This window comes from Homo sapiens, chromosome 2 (assembly GCF_000001405.40).
Source record: "Homo sapiens chromosome 2, GRCh38.p14 Primary Assembly".
NCBI lineage: Eukaryota > Metazoa > Chordata > Mammalia > Primates > Hominidae > Homo > Homo sapiens.
In genome coordinates this window covers 171,762,417-171,782,724 of record NC_000002.12, presented here as the reverse complement: position 1 = coordinate 171,782,724, position 20,308 = coordinate 171,762,417, and the positions used below count along the sequence as shown (strand labels likewise).

Sequence of the window (20,308 nt, the reverse complement as noted above, 5' to 3'; positions counted from 1 at the left end):
AGACCATATTTAGTTTCTATTTTTGGAATTTATATGAATCAAATTATACTGTACACTTTTGAGACTGGTTTCTTTTGCTAAGCATTATGAGATTCATCCTTATCATTGTATGTAGCCATAGTGTGTTTATTCCATTGTATGAATGTATTACATTACATATACTTTTTTCATTTTACTCTTGATGGACAATTTGGATTTTTTCCACTTTGGGGATATTTCAAACAGTGCTTCTATGGATATTTTGAACATGTCTTCTGGAGTTTGCATCTTTAAAAGGACATATACATAAGAGTGGAACCTAGATCATGCCAACTGTTTCCCGAAGATTCTCATACTGATTTACATTCTTCCCAGGGTGTATTGGCTTTTCCCCAGCCCCCCAGTCTGGTAGATGTATAATGGTATCATATTGTAGTTTAAATGACCATTTTCCTTATATGGAAAAAAAATATGAAAGGTGTTCATGAGGCTGATCACATTTCATATATTTTTTGACCATTTGGATTTCATCTTTGGTGAATGAAGTGTGTTAAAGTTCTCCCATTTTTCTCATGAATTTGCAGGTGGTTCTTTATATATTCTGGCTACTACTCCTTTATGAGTTGTGTTGCAGAATCTTTTCCCACTTTGTGGTTTGTCTTTTCACAATGTTTATAAATATAGTAACATTTTAATTTTAATATCTTCAAATAATAGTTTTCCTTTATGGTTAGCTCGGTTTTTTTTATGGTTATGTTAAAAATATAGTTAATATTCTCTTGTTACATGCTTTGTAGTTTTGCCTCTCACATTTTGGTTTCATCCCACTTGGAACAATCTTCAACATATAGTATGAGGTAATTTTTTTGCTGCTATAGGGCTAGTCTGTTGTGCCAGCACTGTTTATTGAAAAAAAACAAAAACAAAAAACCTTCCTTTTCCTATTGCTTTGAAGTGCCTTTTCTGTTGTATATTGTCAATATATGCAAAGATCTTTTATGGGCTCTTTATTATATTGGTTTTTTTCCTGTGCTAATGTACACTCTCTTCATTACTTCATGATCTTCAAAAAAATTTTTGATATATAATATCAAAGTCCTTTCACATCCTTGTTATTCATCAACAGCTTGTGGCTCTTCTTGGTTCTCTGCTCTTCTTTATATATTTTAGAAATAGCTTATCACGTTTCACTAAAAAAAGCCGAACACATTGAAAATTTGATTGGAGTTGCGATGAATCTATAAGCTATTTTGGGAGAATTTATATCATAGTGGGCCTTTCAATCCATGAACATGATATATTGCTAAGTCCTTTTAATGTCTTAATAAAATTTTATTAATCACCAAGAAGGTCTTGTAAATCTTTTGTTACATATATTCCTAGGTACATCATATATTTGGATGCCATTATAAATATCTTTTTTGGAAATGTCATTTCTGGTATGTGGGAATATAATTCAGTTTTTTCATAACATTGGAAGCCAGTTGTCTTACAGAATGTCTCACATTATTTATCTGATTGCTTCCTCCTGGTATCGTCTGACGTGTTCCAGTACAATAAAGTGGAAGTTAGTCTAGCAGTACAGTTTTCTTTCTGACAGCTTTACTGAAGTATTTACAGAGCTACATAACCATCACCACAATAAAATTTTAGTGTATTGATATCATGCTCCAAAATGTAAAATGTATCACTTTATACTCCCACCAGTAATGGATGAGTGTTACAGTTTCTTCACATCCTTACCAATACTTAATTATTGACTATCTTATTATAGCTATTCAGTGGGTGTGAAGTGATACCACATTGTGGTTTTAATTGCATTTCCCTAATAACTAATGTCGAGCATTTTTTCATGTGCTTATAGACATCTATGTTTCTTCAAATCTTTTATCTATTTTTTAATTGGAGTTTGTCTTTTTATTATTGAGTTGAAGTAGTTATTTATATGTTCTGGATGTGAGTCCTATATCAGATTTGCAAATATTTTCTCCCAGTCTGTTTTCTTATTGGTGTCTTTTGAAGCACAAAAGCTTAACATTTTTATTAAGTTCAATTTCCTGTTTTTGGTGTCATCTAAAAACTGGTTAAACTAAGGTCATGAAGATTTTCTGTTTTCCTTGAAAAGTTTAGTATTTTAGTTATTACATTTAGGTCTATGATTATTTTGAGTTAATTTTTGTATATGGTATGAAGTAAGGATTTAAATTCATATTCTGTATGTGAATATCCGATTGTCTAATTACTATTTTTATTTTATTTTTACTTTTTGTGGAGATGAGGTCTTACTATGTTGCCCAGGCTGGTCTCAAATTCCTGGCCTCAAGCAATCCTCCTGCCTTGGCCTCCCAAGGTGCTGGGATTACAGGTGTGAGCCACTATGTCCAACCTCAGCACCATTCTTGAAAGGCAATCCTTTCCTCAGTGAATTGCCTTGGTGTTCTTTAATCAACAATAAATTGACAATACCTGTAAGAGTTTATTTGTAGACCCTCATTTCTGTTCCATTAATCTATATCACTATACTTATGCCAGTATCACAATCTTGATTATTGTAGCTTCACATTAAGTTTTGAAATAGGGAAGTGTAAATCCTCTAACTTTGTTCTTTTTCAAAACTGTTGTGCTTATGTTGGATCTTTTGTATTTCCATATAAACTTTAGGATTAGCTTGTCAATTTCTTCAAAAAAACCAGCTGTTCTTTTTTTGATAGGGATTTTGCTGAATTTATAGATCAATTTGGGAAGAACTGCCATCTTAACAATCCTTAGTTTTCCAATCCACACACTGGGGATCTCTAATTAGATCTTTAAAATTTCAGCCATGTTTATATTTTTCAGTGTACAGGTCTAATACCTCTGTTAAATTTATTCCTAAATATTTTATTTATTTTTTTGAGACAGTCTTGCTGTGTCACCCAGGCTGGAGTGCAGTGGTGTGATCTCGGCTCACTGCAACCTCCGCCTCCCAGGTTCAAGCAATTCTCCTGCCTCAGCCTCCTGAGTAGCTGGGATTACAGACACACACCACCACGCCCGGCTAATTTTTGTATCTTTAGTAGAGACAGGGTTTCACCATGTTGGCCAGGCTGGTCTCGAACTCCTGACCTTGTGATCTGCCTGCCTCGGCCTCCCAAAGTGCTGGGATTACAGACGTGAGCCACCGTGCCCGGCCCTTAAATATTTATGATGTTTTTATTAATGTAATTTTCTTCATTTTCAGATTATTCATTGTTATACAGAGAAACAGCTGATTTTTGTATGTTGATTTTGTATCTTACAACCTTGCTGAACTCACTGGTTTTGATAATTGGGTTTTATTTTCTATGTCTCTTCTTTTTTTTTCTTGTTCCTTTCTTTCTCCTTTACTGCTTTCTTTTGTGTTAAAAATACATATTTTATAGTGTTCTATTATAAGTTTTTTGTTTTAACTATTTTTTGGAGTTATTTTCTTAGTGATTTATCTAGGGGTTAAAATATATGTCTTAATTTATCACAATGTACTGATTCATATTAATTCTGGAAAATATATTCCAGTAAGTTCCAGTAAAATATAAAAACATAGCTCTAATATAGTTCCATTTCTTTCCCTCCTTTTGCTATTGTCATATATATTACATTTGTATATATTGTAACCACACAGTAAAGTTTTATAGTTACTGTTCCTTGCAGTTGTATTTTAAATCAAGATAAAAAATATATGTGTAGTCTTATATTTACCTATATATTGCCTTTATAGGTGTTTTTCATTCATGTGAATTCGAGTTACCATCTGCTATGGTTTGAATGTATCCAACAAGCTTCATGTGTTGAAAATTTAATCCCAAATGCAACCATGTTAAAAAGTGGGACCTCTAAGAGGTGATTAGGTCATGAGGGCTCTGCCCTCATGAGTGGATTAACATATTTGTCTCAGTAGTTGGTTGGTTATCACAAGAGTGGGTTTGTTATAAAAGTCGGTTTGGCCCTTCTTGCTCTCACCCGTCTTGCCCTCCACCAAGGGATGATGGAGCACAAAGGTCCTTGCCAGATGCCAGCACCATGCTCTTGGACTTCCCTGCCTCCAGAACTGTGAGCCAAATATCTGTTAATTATAAACTACCCAATCTGTGGTATTCTGTTATGGCAGCATAAAATGGTCTAAAACACTACTGCTATTTCTTTTTAGATAATAGGACTTCCTTTAATAATTTCTTGCAAGGTAGGTTGTCTAGCAACAAATACCGTCAGTCATTTGTTTAATAATGTCATTATTTTAGCTTCATTTTTGAAGAATAATTTTGCTGGACATAGAATTCTTGACTGACAGGTTGTTTTTTTTTTTTCCTTTCAGCTTTGAATATGTCATCTTCCTGCCTTACGGCATCCATGGTTTCTGATGAGAAATCAACTGTTGATCATATTGTTGTTCCCTTATATATGGTAAGTCATCTTTCTTTTGCTGCTTTCAAAAATTCCTCTTTTTGAATATTATGTGCCTAAATGTTGATCTCTTTTTATTCCGTTTGCTCACTGTCTTTTTTTGTTTGTTTGTTTGTTTGTTTCCTGAGACAGAGTCTTGCTCTGTCACCCAGGCTGGAGTGCAGTGGCATGATCTTGGCTCACTGCAACCTCCACTTCTTGGGTTCAAGTGATTCTCCCACCTCAATCTCCCAAGTAGCTGGGACTATGGGCGTGTGCCACCATGCCTGGCTAATTTTTGTATTTTTAGTAGAGACAGGGTTTTGCCATGTTAGCCAGGCTGGTCTTGAACTCCTGACCTCAGGTGATCCACCTACCTTGGCCTCTCAAAGTGCTGGGATTACAGATGTGAGCCACCGTGCTTGGCCACTCCCTGTTGTCTTCTGCAGTATAGAGTTCTGAAATTCCAATTATACATACATTGGTATGCTTGATGGTGCTACACAGGTCTCTGAGGCTTTCTTCATTTTGCTTCTTTTTTTCTTTTAGTTCTTCAGATTTTCAGGTTTTAAGAATTCCTTCTGGTCGGGCATGGTGGCTCACGCCTGTAATCCCAGCACTTTGGGAAGCCGAGATCACACCATTGCACTCCAACCTGGGCAACAAGAGCAAAACTCCATCTCAAAAAAAAAAAAAAATCTTCTTGGTTCAGTTTTGTTAAATTTTAAGTTTTCTAGGAATTTTTCAGTTTCATTAATTTTTTTTTTTTTTTTTTTTTTTTGAGACGGAGTCTCGCTCTGTCGCCCAGGCTCAATCTCTGCTCACTACAAGCTCCGCCTCCTGGGTTCATGCCATTCTCCTGCCTCAGCCTCCCGAGTAGCTAGGACTACAGGCACCTGCCACCACGCCCGGCTAATTTTTTGTATTTTTAGTAGAGATGAGGTTTCACCATGTTAGCCAGGATGGTCTTGATCTCCTGACCTCGTGATCCTCCCGCCTCGGCCTCCCAAAGTGCTGGGATTACAGGCGTGAGCTACTGTGCCCAGCCAGTTTTATTTAAATTTTAAAAGTATTTTATTTTTAATGTCTGTAGCATTTTAAATTATATGTAATAAATGAAATAAATGAAATACATTTAATTAAATAATAAATAAATAAATAGAGACAAAGAGAAAGGGTCACTCTGCCAGCCATGCTGAAGTGCAGAGGCACCATTATAGCTCACTGCAGCCTTGACCACCTGGGCTCAAGTGATCCTCCCACCTTGGGCTCCCAAGTGTCTGGAGCTACAGGTGCCTGCCACCAAGCCTGGCTAATATTTTACTTTTTATTTTTTGTAGAGACAGGGTCTCACTATGTTGCCCAAGTTGGTCTTGAACTCAGGCTCAAGTGATCCTTGCCCCTCAGCTTCCTAATGTGCTAGGTTTATGGGCATGAGTCACCACATCTGGCCCTATAGCATTTAATATTTCTTCTTATTCATTTCTGATATTGTTTGTGACTTCTTTCTGTATTTTAATGATTCAGTCCAGAGATTGGTCAATTTTATTAGTTTTTACAGAGAACTGACTTCTGGCTGTGTTGATCCTTTTTTTTTTTTTTTTTTTTTTTGACAGAGTCTCGCTCTGACACCCAGGTTGGAGTGCAGTGGCATGACTTTGGCTCATTGCAACCTCTGCCTCTTGGGTTCAAGTGATTCTCCTGCCTTGGCCTCCCAAGTGGCTGAGATTACAGGTGCATGCCACCATGCTTGGCTAATTTTTATATTTTTAGTAGAGACAGGGTTTCACCATGTTGGCCAGGCTGGTCTCAAACTCCTGGCCTCAAGTGATCCGCCTGCCTCAGCCTCCCAAATTGCTGGGATTACAGGTGTGAGCCATCAGGCCCAGCTATTTCGTTAATTTTTGCTCTTATCTGTTTTTCTTCTATTTTCTTAGGCTATTTTGCCATTCTTTCTTTTCTTTTTTTTTTTGAAACAGAGTCTCATCTGTCATCCAGGCTGGAGTGCAGTGATGCAATCTCGGCTCACTGCAACCTCCGCCTCCTGGGATCAAGTGATTCTCCTGTCTCAGCCTTCTGAGCAGCTGGGATTACAGGCACCCCCACTATGCCTTGCTAATTTTTGTTTTTTGGTAGAGACGGGATTTCACCATGTTGGCCAGGCTGGTCTTGAACTCCTGACTCCAAGTAACCCACCCACCTCAGCCTCCCAAAGTGCTAGGATTACAGGTGTGAGCCACCATGCCCTGCCTACCATTCTCTTTCTAACTTCTTGAGATGTCTCTCTCTCTCTCTCCCTCACCCTCACTCACTCTCTCACTCTCTCTCAGATAGGGTTTTCACTCTGTTGCCCAGGCTGGAGTGCAGTGACATAATCACAGCTCACTGCAGCCTTGACTTCCCAGGCTTAAGTAATCCCCCACCTCAGCCTCCCAAGTAGCTGGGACCACAGGTGTATGACACCAAAGCCAGCTAATTTGTAATTTTTTTTTTTTTTTTTTTTGGTAGAGATAGGATTTCCCTATGTTACCCAGGCTGGTTTCAAACTCCTGGGCTGAAGGAATCCTTCCATCTCAGCCTCTTAAAGTGTTGGGATTACAGGTGTGAGCCATTATGCCCAGCCCCTCATTATTATTATTTAAAGAAAGCTAGGACATTTTCACTATTTTTTTAAGAACTCTTTTCTAATCATCATATGCTAGAAACTGAGAAGGAACTCTTCATTGATTATTATTTCTTCTTGGACTCATGAGTTATTTAGAAGAATGTTTCTTAATTTCAAAATTTGGGAAAATATATATTAGTTTTTTTTGTTTTTGTTTTTGTTTTTATTGATCATTCTTGGGTGTTTCTCCCAGAGGGGGATTTGGCAGGGTCATAGGACAATAGTGGAGGGAAGGTCAGCAGATAAACAAGTGAACAAAGGTCTCTGGTTTTCCTAGGCAGAGGACCCTGCGGCCTTCCGCAGTGTTTGTGTCATTGGGTACTTGAGATTAGGGAGTGGTGATGACTCTTAACGAGTATGCTGCCTTCAAGCATCTGTTTAACAAAGCACATCTTGCACCACCCTTAATCCATTTAACCGAGTGGACACAGCACATGTTTCAGAGAGCACCGGGTTGGGGGTAAGGTCACAGATCAACAGCATCCCAAGGCAGAAGAATTTTTCTTAGTACAGAACAAAATGGAGTCTCCTATGTCTACTTCTTTCTACACAGACACAGCAACAATCTGATTTCTCTATCTTTTCCCCACATTTCCCCCTTTTGTATTCGACAAAACTGCCATCGTCATCATGGCCCGTTCTCAATGAGCTGTTGGGTACACCTCCCAGACGGGGTGGCGGCTGGGCAGAGGGGCTCCTCACTTCCCAGAAAGGGCGGCCGGGCAGAGGCGCCCCCCACCTCCCGGACGGGGCGGCGGCCGGGCAGAGGCTGGCCCCCACCTCCCTCCCGGACGGGGCAGCTGGCCGGGCGGGGGCTGCCCCCCACCTCCCTCCTGGACGGGGCGGCTGCCGGGCGGAGGGGGTCCTCACTTCTCAGACGGGGCGGCTGCCGGGCAGAGGGGCTCCTCACTTCTCAGACGGGGCGGCTGGGCAGAGACGCTCCTCACCTCCCAGATGGGGTCGCGGCCGGGCAGAGGTGCTCCTCACATCCCAGACGGGGCGGTGGGGCAGAGGCGCTCCCCACATCTCAGACGATGGGCATCCGGGCAGAGACGCTCCTCACTTCCTAGACGGGATGGCGGCCGGGAAGAGGCGCTTCTCACTTCCCAGACTGGGCAGCTGGGCAGAGGGGCTTCTCACATCCCAGATGATGGGCGGCCAGGCAGAGACGCTCCTCACTTCCCAGACGGGGTGGCAGCCGGGCAGAGGCTGCAATCTCGGCACTTTGGGAGGCCAAGGCAGGCGGCTGGGAGGTGGAGGTTGTAGCTAGCCGAGATCACGTCATTGCAGTCCAGCCTGGGCAACATTGAGCACTGAGTGAACGAGACTCCGTCTGCAATCCCGGCACCTCGGGAGGCCGAGGCTGGCGGATCACTCGCGGTTAGGAGCTGGAGACCAGCCCGGCCAACACAGCGAAACCCCGTCTCCACCAAAAAAACACGAAAAGCAGTCAGGCATGGCGGCGCGCGCCTGCAATCGCAGGCACTCAGCAGGCTGAGGCAGGAGAATCAGGCAGGGAGGTTGCAGTGAGCCAAGATGGCAGCAGTACAGTCCAGCTTCGGCTCGGCATCAGAGGGAGACCGTGGAAAGAGAGGGAGAGGGAGACCGTGGGGAGACGGAGAGGGAGAGGGAGATATTAGTTTTTATTATTGATTCCTAACATAATTGCATTGTGGTCTAAGGACACACTATCTATGATTACAATCCTTTTGAAATCCTCTTGGCTCCATAGATCGTCATTTTAAAATAAATATTGCATGAACACTTACAAGAATATGTATTCTGCTATTGATGGGTACTCTGTGTGAGGGCATGTGTGTACTCACTACTTTCACACATGGCATTATTTGGTCAAGTACAGCAATTTATTTAAAATGTCTATATCCTACTTTTTGTTTGCTTGTTCTGTCAATTGGTAAAAAAACAAAAAGCATGTTAAACTTTCCTATTATAATTTTGTATTTTCTATTTCTCCTTGTAGTTCTGTCAATGTTTGCTTTTTACATTTTAAGGTTATGTCATTAGGTACATCAAGACAAATTAAGAGCTTCCAGATGAATTGATTCTTTTGTCATTGTCTCTTTTTTTAATCTCTAGTAATGCTTTTTGTCTGAAAATTTATTTTTTGATATTACTGTAACTATATTTTTCTTTTTTAATATTTACAAGGAAAATTTTCTCTGTCCTTTTATTTTCACATTTTCTCTAATTTGAGGTATGTCACTTATAAGCAGCATATATTTGCATTTTTAAAAAAGTGTAGTCTGACTTCACTCTTTCAGTGGAAGCATTTTAGTTCATTTAATGTAATTACAGATATACCTTATTTGTATTTAAGTATAACATTTCATTTTGTGATTCCTTTGACCCATCTCTACTTATTTTTAATATATTCTTGGGTGTTTTAGAGCAATTATTTTTATTTTTCTATTCTTTTCCCACTGTTTGGAGTTTATGTACTTTGTTTATTGTTTTAGTAAATCTATAATATGCATACTTAATTTTCTAAAATTGAAGTTGGATTGATTCACTCTGCTCTTTTTTATATAAGGATGTTAGTACACTTGAAGACTTGGTATTATCCTACAGTGCAAAAGCTGCTTAAATGCTCACCTTACTGCTCTAGGTTCTGGCTTTTCCTTAGATTGCTGACTTATATTCTCAGCTTTTCAGTGCTTTGAAAATTTTAAACAATCTAGCATTTTTAGTTTTTAGTGCTGATACAAATAACATAGCCTGCCATCTTCCTAGGAATGAAGTTCCCTATTTGTGTGCTTTCTGTGAACTGCCTACTTTTAAATTTTAAATAGGGTTTACAATTTTTTTCTTTATTGACTTATAGACATTCTTTGTTATCTGGATATCAACTCTGCAATATTTCTACCAACCCTTTTCTGCGCATATAATTTTTTTTAAAAAAAATTGAACACAGGATGAGGCGGCAAATCTTTTTTTAAAAAATTAATAAACTTTATCTTTTAGAGCAGTTTTAGGTTCATAGCAAAATTGAGTGGAAAACAGAGTTCTTATATACCACTTTCCTTTCCCCACACTTGGACACCCTTCCCCGAATCAATATCCCACACCACAGTGGTGTATGTTTGATGAACCTACATTGACTCATCATTGTCACCCAAAGTCCATAGTTTACATTAGGGTTCACTTTTGGCGGTGTACATTCTATAGGGTTTTTTCTTTTTCTTTTTCTTTTTTTTTCTGCTGTGATCACTTGGTTCTAATTGATAGGTTTTGACGAAGATATAAAGACGTGTGTTTATCATTGTAAAAAATAATTTAATTGCCCTAAAAATACTCTGCTCTGCCTATTCATCGCTCCCTTCCCCCAATTCCTGACATCCCTCCCTTCCCCCAATTCCTGACAACCACTAATCTTTTTACTATCCCCATAGTTTTGCCTTTTCCAGAGTGTCATATACTTTGAGTTACGCAGTATGTATCCTTTTCAGATTGGCTTCTTTCACTTGTTTTTTTGTTTTGTTTTGTTTTGGTAGAGATGAGATCTCACTATATTGCTTCGGCTGATCTTGAACTCCTAGGCTGAAGTGATCCTCCTGCCTCAGCAGGAATATCAATTTAAGTTTTTTGTATGCCTTTTTGTGGCTTCATAGCTCATTTCTTTTTCATGGTGAATAATATTCCAAAGCCTGGATGTACCACAATTTATTTAGACACTCATCTACTAAAGGACATCTTGGTTGCTTCCAAGTTTTGGCAATTATGAATAAAGGTGCTATGGACTTCTCTATGCAGGTATTTGTGTAGACATGTTTTCAGCTCATTTGGGTAAATACCAAGAATTGCAATTGCTGGACTGTATGGATAGAGTATGTTTAGTTTTGTAAGAAACTGCCAAACTGTCTTCCAAAGTGGCTGTACCATTTTGCATTCCCATCAGCAATGAATTAAGAGTTCTTGTTGCTCCATATACTTGTCAGCATTTGTTGTTGTCAGTATTTTGGATTTTGGCCATTCTAATTGGTGTGTAGTAGTATCTCATTGTTGTTTTAATCTGCAGCTTCCTAATGACCTATGATGTGGAGGAGTATCTTTTCATATGCTTACTTGCCATCTGTATGTGTTCTTTGGTGAAGTGTCCCATTCAGGTCTTTTGCTCATTTTTACATTAGGTTGTCTGTTTTTTTTTTTTTTTTATTGTTGAGTTTTTAAAGTTCCTTGTATTTTTTTGGATAACAGCCTTTTATCAGATGTCTTTTGCAAATATTTTCTCCCAGTCTATGGCTTATCTTTTCATTAACTTCACATTGTTTTCCCAGAGGCAGAAGTTTTAAATTTTAATGAAATTGGCTTATCAATTATTTCTTTCATGGATCATATATTTAGTGTTGTATCTAAAATATTATTGTCATACTCCAGGTTATCTCCTTATCAAAGGTTTTTCGCCTTTGTTATCTTCTAGGAGTTTTATAGTTTGTTTGTTTGTTTGTTTTTTTGAGACGGAATCTCGTTCTGTCGCCCAGGCTGGAGTGCAGTGGCGTGATCTTGGCTCACTGCAACCTCCACCTCCTGGGTTCAAGCCATTCTCCTGCCTCAGCCTCCTGAGTAGCTGGGACTACAGGTACACGCCACCATGCCCAGCTAATTTTTGTATTTTTAGTAGAGGTGGGGTTTCACCATGTTGACCAGGATGATCTCGATCTCCTGACCTCGTGATCCACCCACCTCTGTCTCCCAAAGTGCTGGCATCATAGACGTGAGCCACCGTGCTAGGCCAGTTTTGTGTTTCACATTTTGTGGGCATAGAGCTGTTCATAGTATTTCTTTGTTACCATTTTCATGCCCGTGGGATCTATAGTGATGGCCCTTTTTCATTTCTGGTATCAGTAATTTGTATCTTCTTTTTTTCTTGGCCCTGGCTAGAGGCTTATCAATTTTATTGATCTTTTCAAAGAACTAGCTTTTGGTTTTGTTGGTTTTCTCTATTGATTTTCTGTTTTCAATGTCACTGATTTCTGTTCCATTTCTTTTTTCTGCTGCTTATGTTGGATTTATTTATAAGGTGAGAGCTTAGATTACTGATTTTAGATTTTTCTTCTTTTCTTATATATACATTCAATGTAATAAATTTCTCTGCAAGCACTGCTTTCACTGCATCCCATAAATTTTTAATGAGTTGTATTTTCATTTTCATATATATACGTTTTGTTTTTTTGAGACAGAGTCTTGCTCTATCACCCAGGCTGGAGTGCAGTGGCGTAATCTCAGCTCACTGCAACCTCTGCCCCCTGGGCTCAAGCGATTCTCTTGCCTCAGCCCCCTGAGTAGCTGGGATTATAGGCCTGCACCACCAAGCCCATCTCATTTTTTAATTTTTAGTGGAGATGGGGTTTCACCATGTTGGCCAGGCTGGTCTCAAACTCCTGATCTCAAGTGATCTGCCTGCCTCAGCCTCCCAAAGTGTTGGGATTACAGGCATGAGCCACTGCGCCTGCCCTCATTTTCATATATTTCAAAATATTTTAAATTTTCTGTTGAGATTTCTTCTTTGACTCATGTGTTATTTAGAAGTGTGTTGTTCAATCTCCAAGTATTTTAAGGTTTCGAGCTATCTTTATTATTGATTTCTAGTTTAATTCCTTTGAGGCCTGAGAATAGATATTATATGTTTATTCTTTTAAATGTTTTAAAGTGTGTTTTTATGGCCCAGAATGTGGTCTTTGTGAATGTTTCATGTAAGCTTGATAAGAATGTGCATTCTGCTGTTGTTTTAAGTAGTAGTAAATAGACATCCATTACATCCAGTTGATTGATGGTGTTACTGAGTTCAACTATGTCCTTACTGATTGATCTTCTGCCTGCTGGATCTGTCCTTTTCTGATAGAGGGGTGTTGAAGCCTCTAACCATACTAGTGAACTCCTTGTAGTTCAATCAGTTTTTGCCTCACATATTTTGATGCTGTCTTGTTGGGAGCATATGTAAGAATTGTTCTGTCTTCCTGGAGTATTGACCCCTTTATCATTATATAATGCCCCTTTTTATCCCTGATAACTTTCCTTGCTCTGGAGTATTCTCTATTTGAAATCAGTATATCTACTCCTGATTTCCAGGATCCCTCACAGATACCAAAATTCAAGGATGCTCAATTCCCCAAATAAAATGTTTTAGTATTTCCATATAACCTACGCTCATACTCCCATGTACTTTAAATCATCTCTAGATTACTTGTACCTAATACAATGTAAATGCACATAAATAGCTATATTGGGTTTTTATTTGCATTATTTTTATTGGGTATTGTTATTTTTAATAGTTTTTTCCCAATATTTTCAAGTTGGTTAGTTGAATCCGTGGATATAGAACCTGCAAATATGGAGGGAAGGCCAGTTGCAGTATGAAGTAGCATTTGGGAGAGCAAGTTCGCCTTCTGTGTTCATTTTCAAAATTATATTGCTTATTTTTCTATCATTTCTCTTCCATGAGTTATACAATCAACATTTTTTCAAGTTCTAGTTAAAAATTCTGTTGGAATTTTCCTTGGAAATTTATAATTTGCTTTAGGATGTATACTGATATTTGGTAATATGGGATCTTTCCATCTCAGGTCTGTCCATTTTTCAGATTTTTTAATATCCTTCAGCAAAATTTTATATTCTTAAGTATTAGGTTTTACAAACTCCTTTTATTGGTAGTATGCTTAGGTTTAAATATTTTCATTCCTATTATGAACAGAGTTATTGCCCATTACATTTTCTAACTAATGTAACAGGCAATTTGGATATGCTAATCTTATACTCAGTCATCTTAATGAACTCTTGCAATATTTTTCAGTTGGCTGATTATCTTGTCCTCTCATGGTTAAAAATTTTATCTGCAAAGGTGGTTTTGTGTCTTTTCAATATTTACATTTTATTTTCTTATCTTAATGCAGATGCTTGGACATCTACCACCATGTTAAACAGGAGGAGTGTGATAGCAAGCATCCTCGCATTTCTCTAGCATTAGTGAGAATGATTCTAACATCTCACCCTTAAGTGTGATGCTTGCTGTAGGTTTCTGATAGATACGATTTTTTTTTTTTTTTTTTTTTTTGAGACAGAGTTTCGCTCTTGTTGCCTAGGCTGGAGTGCAATGACACGATCTTGGCTCGCCGCAACCTCTGCCTCCCAGGTTCAAGCGATTCTCCTGCCTCAGCCTCCTGAGTAGCTGGGATTACAGGCATGCACCACCACGCCCGGGTAATTTTGTACTTTTAGTAGAGATGGAGTTTCTCCATGTTGGTCAGGCTGGTCTTGAACTCCCGAGCTCAGGTGATCTGCCTATTTCAGCCTCCAAAGGTGCTGGGATTACAGGCATAAGCCACTGCACCGGGCTGATAGATACACTTTATTGACTTAAGAGTTTTCACTATTCCTAATTTATTCTGGTGTTTCTTTTTTCTTTTAAAATCAAGAATAGGTATTAAATTTTATCATATACTTTTTTGCCTCCACTGAGATTTTTCTAATTTTTACATATGATTAGCAATATTAGTACATTTTCTCATAGTGAAACATTTAAAAATTTCTAGGATTAAGCCTACTTGGCTGTGATATCTTAATCCACACGTGTTCAATTTTTGCATTTTTGTTCATTCCTGAGATTGGCTTATTCTTTTGTTTTGACTTTGTACTGTCCATGTCTGGTTTGGTGTCCACTGCATTTTCCATCGTTTTCTAGTTTCTAGAATAGCTGTTACTAAAGCTCTAGAAATTGTGCCTTTAAAGCTTATGTCTTTCAGCCAGGCGTGGTCGCTCGTGCCTGTATTCTCAGCACTTTGGGAGGCCAAGGCAGGCAGATCACTTGAGCCCACCAGTTCGAGACCAGCCTGGGCAACATGGCGAAATCCTGTCTCTACAAAAAAGCACAAGCATTAGCCAGGAGAGGTGGCATGTACCTGTGGTCCCAGCTACTGAGGCTGAGATGGGAGAATCAGTTGAGCCCTAGAGATAGAGGTTGCAGTGAGTTGAAATCGTGACACTGTATTCCAGCCTGGGTGACAGAATGAGACCCTGTCTCAAAAAAAAAAGCTTACGTATTTCAAGGGAGTAATCTTTGGTAACCTTTTCAACTTCTTTTTGGTTTACTGGTCTATTTAAGTTTTTACTTCTTAGATCAACTTCACCAATTTATATTTTCCTTAGTTTTTCTTCTATATTGTCAAGGTTTTCAAATTTATTAACAAAGGTATATGCTGTATTGACTTAACTTTTGGAAAAATTCAAATGTATACAAAGTAAACAGAATACTGTAATATTTACAATTTTTACTCATCACGCAGCTTCAAAAATGATCAACTCATAGCTAATCCTGTTTCAATTATACTTCATCCATGTCTCTTCCACCCTTACTGAATTATTCTGAAACAAACCCCAGATATCAGATCACCCAGAAATATTTCCTTATATACCTCTAAGTGTTAAGGACTTTTGAAAAAAATACATAACACCACCATTTCCCCAACTCTGTCAGTCTCTTTCCTTCTCTCTCTCTCGCGCATGCATGCACACACACACACACACACACAGACATACACATATACATGCACAGTTTGAATCAGTATCCAAGTAAAGTCCATACATGGAATATAGTTGATCTCTCTCTTAAATCTAACACTACCATTTCCCCAACTGTGTCTGTCAGTCTCTCTTTCCTTCTCTCTCTCTCACACACACACTCACACAGTTTGAATCAGTATCCAAGTGAAGTCCATACATGGAATATGATTGATTTCACTCCTAAATCTCTTTTTAGTCTTTGGTTTCCCTCTCCTCCTCTTTTTTACTTGCACATAAGACTTCAGCCTGTTTGTCCTGTAGTTTCCTACATTCTCAATTTTGGTGATTGCATCCTTGTGGTGGTGTTTAGCTGTTTCTATTTCCCTGAATTTTCTATAAATTGGTAGTTATGTTCTAGAGGCTTGACAGCATTTATGATCAATTTTTTTTTTTTTTTTTGGTAAGAATACTTTGTGGAGGCCGGGTGCGGTGGCTCATGCCTGTAATCCCAGCAGTTTGGGAGGCCGAGGCGGGTGGGTCACGAGATCAGGAGATTGAGACCATCCTGGCTAACACGGTGAAACCCTGTCTCTACTAAAAAATACAAAAAATTAGCTGGGTGTGGTGGCGGGCGCCTGTAGTCCTAATACAAAATTAGCCTACCACCATGCCAGGCTAATACAAAAATTAGCCTGGCATGGTGGTAGGTGCCTGTAATCCCAGCTACTGGGGAGGCTGAGGCAGGAGAATGGTGTGAACCTGGGAGGCGGAGCTTGCAGTGAGCCGAGATTGCGCCACTGCACTCCAGCCTGGGCGACAGAGCGAGACTCTGTCTCAAAAAAAAAAAAAGAATACTTTGTGGGTGTGTTACGTGTACATCCAAAAGAAGGCACAGAATAATGTCTCTTTTGGTAACTAGCAGCCTTTGATAATTACCTTCAACCATTATTTCATCAGGAGTTGCAAAATGGTGGTATTCTATTATATCTTACATATTAGCTGAGATACTTTTATAAAGAGAAACGTAACAATTATTTGGTTACACAGAGGGGAAAAACAGGATAAATGCTTGATTTTTTTGTTTTCAAAATATTTCCCCAGCATCTTCCAGAGATGAACAATGAGAATTTCTTTGAGAAGTGTCAAAGAATTAAACATATTTGATATGTTTTAAACCTTTGGATTTTTTTTTTTTTTTTTTTTTTTTTTTGAGATAGAGTCTTGCTCTCTCACCCAGGCTGGAGTGCAGTGGCATGAGCTCAGCTCGCTGCAGCCTCGACCTCCCAGGTTCAAGCGATTCTCGTGCCTCAGTCTCCCAAGTAGCTGGGATTACAGGCACCTACCACCATGCCAGGCTAATTTTTGTATTTTTAGTAGAGACAGGGTTTCACCATGTTGGCCAGGCTGGTCTCCAATTCCCAACCTCAGGTGATCTGCCCGCCTCAGCCTCCCAAAGTGCTGAGATTACAGGTGTGAGCCACCATGGCCGCCTGGTCTTTTTTTTTTTTAATACTCAAGTTGTCTCATCTTCGGCCAGTGGGAGCCTCTTGCAATTAACTTCTAAGTCCTACCGATATTACCTCAGGATTTTTTTTTTTTTTTTTAAGAGATGGGGTCTTGGTATGTTGCTTAGGCTGGTTTCAAACTCCTTGGCTCAAGTGATCCTCCTACCGCGGCCTCATGAGTAGCTAGGACTACGGATACATGCTACTGCACCTGCTGGTTTTTTGTGTTTTTTGTTTTTGTTTTTTTGATTTTTTGTATAGACAGGGGTCTTGCTTTTAGGTTGCAGTTTCCACAGTTACTTTTGCACCAACCTAATATATTGCTCAGGTTGGTTTCAAACTCCTGAGCTCAAGCAGTCCTCCTGCCTTGGCCTCCCAAAGCACAGGGATTAGACATGAGCCACTGTGTTTGGCCCTCAGGAATCTTTGATAGCTTCCTAGCTTTCCAGTATGACAAGATGCTCCAAACTCTTCCTTTTATTTCTTGCCAAGACCAGATATTAGTAATTTCTCCACGGAGCCCTAATTCTGTATTAATTACTAAATTATTTAATTTTTAAATTTCCTTTTGCCCTGAGTTATTTAGAAGGGGATTTGAAAACTTTCTTTTCGGCAAGCCTTGCATTTAAAAATGTACATTTTAGTGCACTATGGTAAAAATACACCTACAATCACTCCTGTTGAGATATTCTGACACTTTTGGTCAATGATTCTTATTTAAAAGGGAAAGATCGTTTTATAGTCCTAAACTTGTGCCTTTTCAAACCAAAGAAAGCTATTCTAGTCTATATTTTTCTCCCTATGTCCCATCTTTTATCTCCTATTTAGATACTGGAATTTTGGGACATATCCCTGTATCATTGAGCTTTCCTTGATACTTTCTCTGTTAGTACTTTTTGGTTGAATGAGAGACACCTTGTGATTATTCTGACAGCTTTACTCTTCAGCTGTATCCCTCTATTTAGCTTTTAAAACAACTTTAACAACCATAATTGCAATATCTAAGATTGGATTGGTTCTTTTATAATAACCTATACTTATTTTATGGCTATGATACCATACTCTATACTCTTGGGATGTTAAATACACTTATTTGATGTCTTCTTTAATATGCTGTTATTTTGACTTTTTAAAACGGTTTGTTCAGGGCCTTTCGTGTTACTGACTTTCTTCAAATATTTTAGTGATTCACAGTTATAATTTTAAGTTATTTAGTTGCTCATTTTTGTATTTGAGAGCCTCTTTTTATGGATGCCGTATCTGTTATCATAGCCTGTGATGAGAGTAGTGGGCTGTGCTATGTTGAGGATATGCCAGTATTTTGGCTCTGGGTACAGTAGTCCTCCTTATCTGCAGGGAGTATATTCCAAGACCCCCAGTGGATACCTGAAACCATGAATAGTACCAAACCCAGTGGCTGTCAGTTGGAACACGTTTCCATTCACGTCTGCCATCCACAAGTTTAATGCTCTTTACACCTTAACTAAGTGCCTACCTGCACTCTGGGGTAACTTCCGAAGTTTAAGGTGCACAGCAAAACTAACACGAATTTATCTTTCCTTCTTCACAATTTCACGGATGGAAGATTTGTTCATACCTTAGATCTAAGCCATATTTTAGATCTTAGCAACCTCAGCATACAATTAAAATAATTATTGTCAAGAACTTTTACATTTTCACTTAAAGGAAGCAATTTACAGTTTTTTGGCACATCGGAATTGCCAGAATCACTACTGGCATTTTGAGGTCATTATTAAGTTAAATAGGAGTTGCTTGAATGCAAACACTGAGATACTGTGACAGTTGATCTGATTAACGAGGACAGCTACTGATTGACTAACAGGCAGGCAGCGTAGACAGTGTGGATACACTGGACAAAGGGATGATTCACATCCTGGGAAGGACAGAGCAGATGGTACAAGATTTCATCCCAGTACTCAGAATCTACCTGCAATGTAAAACTCATGAATTATTTCTGGAACTTTCCATGTAATATATTAAGACTGTGTTGACCATGGGTAACAAACTGTGGAAAGCAAAACCATGGATAAGGGGGAACTAGGGTATGGGCTTCTGTTCTCCTCTTGCGGGTCAGCAAGTGTCTGGGGGCACTGCCCTGCTTTCCCAGCTTCGGTGGCATCACTCAGTTGTTATAGGCTGGCCAGAGACACTGCTTTTGTCCACCACTCAGCTTGTGGTTGGGGAAGGGAACTTGCGTAGCTATTCTGAATCAATCAGCTCCCTAATGAGTCACCCTGTCCAGTACCCCAGGGAACCCTCCTGCTTTTTGCATCTGTTGACTCTGGGTTCCAACCCATGCCTCCTTTTATAGTAGTCTTGCCTGTTTTGAATTATGATTCCCTATCATTTTGTTTGCCTATAACTGATCCTACCTGCTTTTGATGTTTCTGGCATTCTTCCAAATTTCTATTCCATTGCTAGCCCTCTCATCTTTCAGTGCTATAGCAGATTTCTTATTTTTCTTCTGTTTTATTAATTACAGCACTTTATGGAATTTAGAGTTGAGAGGGAGAGCAGATACTTCTGTTTGCCATCTTGATCCAATCTCACTAACAAACAGCACTTAAAGCAAACAGAACAAAAACTCTTTGTCTTTCTCTTGTTGAGACTCCTGGGATGATCCTATAGTTACAAAATGTGCTGTGCAACTAGTAACTCACAGAACATATTTACAAGGTTTTATTAAAATATCAGCCCTTTTCCCTTCTTCCTAACACACAACATTTTGTGATGAATCTGTTAATACTAAACACCAGTTCCTAGCAGTGAATACTCTAGGAGTCATGAAATAGTATTCAGTGATAATTATATTTGCATTGAAAAAATAACATATTAGGGACAACAGAATTATCTTTTAAAAAGTGACCCAGTTGACTTTAGGAGAAAAGACAGGCCCAGCACTGCCCTCGGGTGCCTCATTTTAGAGGCCCTCCTGTAGTTGTGTTCTTTCCCAGGGGGCAAAAAGTCTGCTGGGCCAGTGGGTTATGCCTACCTGGAACTCACTTCATTCTCTTCTCGACCACGTTCAAGGTACCTGAAACCCTGATTTTCCTGCCTAAACTGCTCAGCTTCCAGGGCTTTCACAAGGCCTATCTATCTTTTGCCCAAACCTACCCTGGTTGAAAAGGTGTCCAAGGGGCAGCTATTTGCAAGGCTGTGGAAAAACTTACTTACTTAGGCATGTAGGCTGAAGAATACACAAGTGTTCCTGTGAAGCCCTTCAGAA

The 20,308-nt window shown here is 39.1% G+C and overlaps 2 annotated features.

The window, feature by feature from the left end:
* Positions 6,837 to 7,456: an enhancer, noted in NCBI's record as "NANOG-H3K27ac hESC enhancer chr2:172631779-172632398 (GRCh37/hg19 assembly coordinates)". NCBI's record gives its function as "activates a minimal SCP1, AML or CMV promoter by ChIP-STARR-seq in naive H9 embryonic stem cells {active_cell/tissue: H9 hESC(naive)}" and the evidence as "EXISTENCE:reporter gene assay evidence [ECO:0000049][PMID:30033119]".
* Positions 15,540 to 15,740: a silencer, noted in NCBI's record as "peak3925 fragment used in MPRA reporter construct". NCBI's record gives its function as "represses an SCP1 promoter by STARR-seq MPRAs in K562 erythroleukemia cells {active_cell/tissue: K562}" and the evidence as "EXISTENCE:reporter gene assay evidence [ECO:0000049][PMID:32103011]".